Source organism: Homo sapiens, chromosome 17, assembly GCF_000001405.40.
Source record: "Homo sapiens chromosome 17, GRCh38.p14 Primary Assembly".
NCBI lineage: Eukaryota > Metazoa > Chordata > Mammalia > Primates > Hominidae > Homo > Homo sapiens.
In genome coordinates this window covers 73,086,909-73,092,908 of record NC_000017.11, presented here as the reverse complement: position 1 = coordinate 73,092,908, position 6,000 = coordinate 73,086,909, and the positions used below count along the sequence as shown (strand labels likewise).

Below are 6,000 nucleotides of genomic sequence, written 5' to 3'. Positions count from 1 at the left end.
CTTTCCTTGGGTGTTTGTAGCTTCCCTTAGGGCTGCAGTCACTCGCAGACTGCTGGGCTCTTGGCCTCAGGGCTCTGTTCTGCCCGCCCAGATCTGTTCCTGAGCCTGCAGACGGCTGTGAACCAGAGAATCTATTCTTCAGGCGGGAGTTGCCAGTTGCGGCCAAGGGGGCGGGGCCCGGAGGCGGGAGGGCCACGTGTGCGGGAGGGAAGCAGGAAGTGACTGCGGGAGTGGAGCCGGCGAGAGAGTGGCAGCGGGGGCTGATGGAAGTGCAGTGGGGGCTGGAGAGGGCACCCTAGTGAGTTGGCTTTTCTCTCCTTCGGTGCCTTTGGTTGGGCTCGAGGCCCGGGGTCGGAGGCCATCAGGACAAGAGTGTGGGACTTGGAAGGGCAGCCACCTGGAGCTTGGAAGGGGGTACGCCTGGAGAGAGGAGGGGTTTGGAGGAGAAATTGGAGGCTTTGGCAGGTGTCGGGGCGGGGTGGGAGGGTGAGGGGCGGTGGGAAGGAAGTCCCCGGACCCCGGCTATGTCCCTCTCCAGGGTGATCTGGAAGGCAATGACATGCCTTCCTTTTACAGTCCTAACCCAAATCCTCTTCGTTCGTCCCTTCCTAGGCGGTGTGTGGGGGTACCCGGGATTCCTGGGAGCAGAGGCAGCTACAAATCCAGCTGCTCCCAGGCCCCTCCCACTTGCTCTGGCTGTTAGCTGGACCTCTGGAACTTGACTGGGAATCTGGTTAACTTGCAGCAGGTCTGGGTGGGGCGTGACAGTGTGCATTTCTAACTAATTCCCAGGTTGGGTGGTCCGCGGACCACGCTTTGAGTAGCGAGGCATTAGAGAACTTTTCCACAGTCCTCTCCGCCCAGACCTGAATCCTTCTGCTGGATTCCCCCTCGTGGAGTTAGGGCATGTGTGTGCAGCTCCACTAAGGCCCAGCAGCCCTAGTGCTGTTTCCACTTCTGCAACTTCACCAGCCTCTTGAACTGACTCTTGGAAGCGGAACAACAGGTTTAAAAGGGGGAGAAAGGAAATAAAGAAAACAAACCTGTATCAATCAGCCGGGAATGCCCATGTGCTGCTGTGGCAGGTGTGTACAAGTCTACAGGCTGTTGGCATGTTAAAAGTTGGAACGGTCAGAGAATGATTCTCCCTGCTGCTAACGAATCAGGGTTGATGGAATTAATATCCCCATCGTGAGGAATTCTGAGCCCCATTGTGTAAGCTGTGATGGAGATGCTGTGTCCTAAAGTTGTTACTGGTCTGCCGGTTAGAGAAAACTTCTTGTTCTCTTGGGACTCTGCCAGAAACTTTTTCTTCTCTTGAGACTCTGCAGAAAACTTTCTGTTCTTTTGGGACTCTTCTTTGCTCTTGCCAATCCCACATGGGGCAGGAGAACTCATTTTCTAAGCTCTTGGTATTGTAGAAGTTTTACCAGTTTTATTTATTTATTTATTTTTATTTTTTTTTGAGACAGAGCCTTGCTCTGTCACCCGGACTGGAGTGCAGTGGCGCGATCTCGGCTCACTGCAACCTCCGCCTCCCGGGTTCAAGCGATTACTCCTGCCTCAGCCTCCCGAGTAGCTGGGACTACAGGCACTGGGACTACAGGCACACACCACGACGCCCAAGTAATTTTTGTGTTTTTAGTAGAGATGGGGTTTCACCGTGTTGGCCAGGCTGGTCTCGAACTCCTGACCTCAGGTGATCTGCCCGTCTTGGCCTCCCAAGGTGCTGGGATTACAGGCATGAGCCACTGCGCCTGGCCAAGTTTTACCAGTTTTAATCTTTTGCTTTCCACAGTTTAATGTGCATAAGAATCCCCCATGGAATTCCACAAAATGCAGACCCTGATTCAGAAAGTCTGGGGTGAGACCTGAGTTTCTGCATTCCTAACTAGCTCCCAAGCCGGACCAGTGCTGCTGGTTCTCTGACCACCCTTGTAGCGAGGATTTAAAACAGCAAATAGAGAAGAAACTTCTCCGAGGGGCACTGGGCTTGCATTGCCCGTGATCAATGCTGCTCCTGTTGGGATGGAAAGGATGGTGGCCTCGGTCTTCCCTCTGTGTCCCTTTTTCTTACTCAGGAGGGTGCTCAGATATACATGGGGACAGGCTTAGACGGGTGTTTCCCTATCCCACTAACCACCAGGAACACCCACGAGCTCCCTCTGTTCTGTTCACCAGCCCACAAGATCCACATTGACTTTGGCCTGTTGGCAAATGTAAATTGTTTGCTCTCTTCTGTAGCTGTCAAGAGGCACATTCAAATACAGGAAAGAAAGGTGTTTTTGTTATGCCCTGTCTTGGATGATAAGTACTAAGAGGATGATCCCTTTGTGCTGTTCTTTGTAAATGCTGTTTGAAATTTTGTCCACAGCAACTCGGAATAGATGATTGGTGTAATGGTCCAGATGGCTTGGTTTAAAAACAAAGACCAACCCCTCTTTTTAGGGTGGCTTAGCAAGATGACGGATGTAAAGGGTAGTAGTTTTTTGAAAATGATTTTTTTTTTCTTTAATTGGCGTGGTCACAGTTTTCACAGTTGGTGCAGTTCGTTTAGAGTGCGGGAACTAGAGTCTGATTCCATAGATGCTATTTATCTCAGAGTTTCTGGCACAGGGGCTGAGCCAGGGCTCACCTGGGCTCACCTGGACCTATACCCTTCCTAGGTTTGAGCCTGGGTGTGTTGCTGAGCCGCTTGGCATAAGGGCTGCGTCCACACTCTGCCATGGTTTCCTTCCAGGGTCAATCGAGGCAGCGTCTTCAGCTCTTGATCTGCAGGCTCAGGGCTGCTGGCTCCTCACAGAGCACCGGGAACTGGCAGGGCTGAGCCCAGTGTGGTTGTGTCCAGCCAGCCCTCTGGGTGCTGGCAGACCATCAGGGAGATGAATGAGGCTTTGATATGAGGCCCTGAGCCCAGTGTTTGTGTACCAGAACACAGGGCTTTTCAACAAATGGGTTTCTCTGCCTTGTAACTTTCCACAGGGAGAGATCTGATTGTCATCTCAGATCCAGAATTTTAAGCATGTTAAAGTCTGGAGGAGGTTCTCTGGACTGAAATGAGAGGGAGTGGTACTTCCCTTCCTTTCCTTGGTGGGCGGTGGTGTAACTTCAGCTTCAGCAGCAGGGTGCTGAGTTGACCAGGGGACATTCCATTCCTGGGTCCTTTTGCTTGTCCTTGCTGACTGTCCTGTGCAGGTAAGCTGGCCCTTTTCCATCCAGCACATATTTTTCAGGGGTTACAAAGCCCTATTTTACAGGGGTGCCAAATGTGAAAAAGCACCGTCCCCGTCCTCAAGCAACTAAGGCTGTAAAAGATGGAGGCAAAGCCACACTGAGAGAGGACCAAAGCTGCATGCTAGGACAGGGCTGGGGAAGGCCAGAAAAGCCTTGGTCGTGAGGTTGGCATTATGTGGGCTGCAGAGGGTGCTCCGGGTTCTGATGGCTGGAAATGTGCAAGGAAGGTATTCCAGGAGGGAACTGCATGAACAGGGACTTGGAGGCAGGATTGTCTGGGGCTTGTGGAAGGTGCCATAAATAATTCAGTTGAGCTGGAGTTGGGTGCTCGTGCAGGCATGATGGAGAACGGGATTGGAGAGTCGGGGGTTGGTGGGTATCAAAAGTTGGTTGGTGGAGTTTACCCTTTGGCTGGGCAGGTGCGCTGTTGCAGATGTGATGGGGATTAAGATTGGAAGCGTGTTGACATCACCTGAGCTAGTCACCTGTCTTTGGTGGAGGCTGAGTGCGGATGGTGGGCAAGAGACGGTAGAAGAGGCAGATTATGTGGGGGAGGCTGCATCAGACCCTCCTATGCCCCCTTCTTCTGGAATAAACCACATTCTTTGTGCTTCTCTTTGAAACCACTTTTCAATGTTGCAGCCTTTTTTGTGGATTCCCCTGGCATCTCCCTGTGCCTTCTTTCAGATTAAGACGATTTCCAGTTCCTGGGGGACCTGGATAGAGAAGCCTGACCTGTGTGCTGGGTGGCTGAGGGACACAGATGGCGTGGTGGAAGGGTGCATACGGTCAACCTGGAGGGAGGCCAGCTCCCACACAGGGTGTTAGGACCCGTCAGAATATGCGCCTGTCACTGAAACGGACCACCGGTGGCTGACCCTCTCGCTCCTCTTGCACAGCTGTATCCAGCATGCTCCAAGGCCACAGCTCTGTGTTCCAGGCCTTGCTGGGGACCTTCTTCACCTGGGGGATGACAGCAGCTGGGGCAGCTCTCGTGTTCGTATTCTCTAGTGGACAGGTGAGTTGCCTTGCTTTGGTTCTGGATGTTGGTGGGGAGCCCGTTGGTAAAGGGGCACTGTCCCACTCCATGGAGCAGGTTTGTAGACTTTTCAGTGCCCCTGGCCACACCCCCAGGCATTGTGTACTGGGGTTTGTTCGCTGTCTTCTTATTTTCTCACCTTCTCCCTGCCAGGCCGGGAGAACAGATGTCTGCTTGCTGTAGACACCTTCATGCACCATCATCTCCCCTCTTGACCCTTGACAGCCTGACTTGAAGGGAATAGGAAGTGAGAAGCCCAGTTATTGAGGCTTCGTTAGCCCGCTGCCTAATTTCTACCTGCCATGTAATTTCTTTTCTTTTTTCTTTTTTCTTTTTTTTTTTGAGACAGAATCTTGCTCTGTTGCCCAGCCTGGCGTGCAGTGGCAGGATCTCAGCTCTCTGCAACCTCCACCTCCCGGGTTCAAGTGATTCTCCTGCCTCAGCCTCCAGAGTAGCTGGGATTACAGGCATGTGCCACCACGCCTGGCTAATTTTTGTATTTTTAGTAGAGGTGGGATTTCACCACTGGTCTCAAACTCCTGACCTCAGATGATCCACCCACCTCGGCCTCCCACAGTGCTGGGATTGCAGGTGTGAGCCACCGTGCCTGGCCTGCCATGTAATTTCTTTCAGGCCTGGAGCAAGTGGTACTATGCGTGACCGAAGAACATTAGATTTCAGGTGTAACTGTCCTCCCCTGTGGACTTGAGTTGGGTGGGATGGTTGGAAAGACCTTGGGAGAAGAAGGGGCATCTGTTCCCTTTTTTTTCAACCCATCTCCAGGTTGTTTCCTTTCCCCTTGGGATGAATATAGACAGACCCATGTCCCTGGCCCCCTGCAAACTCTTACTTCTTTCTCCTACATCTTCCTTGTATCCTACTCCCAGTGCCCTCACTCACTGTCATGGCCCCACAGCCTATCTCTCCCTCCTCCCACAACCCCATCCTTACACCCCTTCTACACGCTCTACCTATAGTCCCACATACCCACACTTGCACACATACCCATACCCATATGCCCTCCCCACACCTCTGCACAACCCACACTCACCTCATATACCTGAAATTGCATTCTTTTCTCCAACCCAGATCACCCTCAGTCCGCAGCCCTGGAGCCATCCATGGGTATCTTGATGAATGCACAATCCCTGCATCGATCACCTCGGTAGCCTGAGACATTGTAGAAACGGCAAATGAATAAGTGACTTAAGATCTAGTTCAACATGTTGTGAGGGAGATCTGGAAATGAAAACACCTTTAGGAAGTTCACAAGTCAGGCACTCTTGTGTTAGAGACCAGTACAGCAGGCCTTGATTTCAACAATAAAATCCCGACCTCCCTTGCTGCGCTGCACTGCCCCCGGGAGCTGATGGGTTGGAGACTGGAAATCAGAAAACACACAATCCAGAAACATGGTTTATCTGGAACCTAGGTATATAAGATGCCAAGATAAGTCAAATTCACAGAGACACATTGTAGAATGGTGATTGCCAGGGGCCACAGAGGAGGGCAGAAATAAGTTATTCTTGAATGAGTACAGAGTTTCAGGGTTTTTTGTTTTTGTTTGTTTTTTTTTTCTTTAGACAGAGTCTTGCTCTGTCACCCAGGCTGGAGTGCAGTGGCGTGATCTTGGTTCACTGCAACCTCTGCTTCCCAGGTTCAAAAGGTTCTTCTGCCTCAGCCTCCCGAGTAGCTGGGATTACATGCATACACCACCACGCTCAGCT

At 51.8% G+C, this 6,000-nt stretch overlaps 1 protein-coding gene across 34 annotated transcripts in view, besides 3 other annotated features; it reads left to right on the top strand.

The window, feature by feature from the left end:
* Positions 1-220: 220 nt before the first annotated feature.
* The window catches only part of SLC39A11 (solute carrier family 39 member 11), a 446,740-nt gene continuing 440,960 nt past the window's right edge, over positions 221-6,000 (top strand). For 15 of the 34 annotated variants that reach the window (XM_017024335.2, NM_139177.4, XM_006721757.3 and 12 more), the window contains exons 1-2: positions 221-298; positions 4,134-4,252. In XM_017024335.2, the coding sequence (XP_016879824.1) occupies positions 4,145-4,252 (108 nt within the window). In that variant the 5' untranslated portion in view covers positions 221-298; positions 4,134-4,144. Of the gene's footprint in view, positions 415-792; positions 1,086-3,058; positions 3,196-4,133; positions 4,253-6,000 lie in introns of those variants that run through there. The other 19 variants (XM_047435571.1, NM_001352693.2, XM_017024334.3 and 16 more) reach the window with 5 other exon arrangements.
* Positions 1,061-1,292: a silencer, noted in NCBI's record as "fragment chr17:71087756-71087987 (GRCh37/hg19 assembly coordinates)". NCBI's record gives its function as "represses an EF-1alpha promoter that drives an FKBP-Casp9 reporter gene in an ReSE screen in HepG2 liver carcinoma cells {active_cell/tissue: HepG2}" and the evidence as "EXISTENCE:reporter gene assay evidence [ECO:0000049][PMID:32094911]".
* Positions 2,263-2,763: an enhancer, noted in NCBI's record as "H3K4me1 hESC enhancer chr17:71086285-71086785 (GRCh37/hg19 assembly coordinates)". NCBI's record gives its function as "activates a minimal SCP1, AML or CMV promoter by ChIP-STARR-seq in naive H9 embryonic stem cells {active_cell/tissue: H9 hESC(naive)}" and the evidence as "EXISTENCE:reporter gene assay evidence [ECO:0000049][PMID:30033119]".
* Positions 2,764-3,264: an enhancer, noted in NCBI's record as "H3K4me1 hESC enhancer chr17:71085784-71086284 (GRCh37/hg19 assembly coordinates)". NCBI's record gives its function as "activates a minimal SCP1, AML or CMV promoter by ChIP-STARR-seq in naive H9 embryonic stem cells {active_cell/tissue: H9 hESC(naive)}" and the evidence as "EXISTENCE:reporter gene assay evidence [ECO:0000049][PMID:30033119]".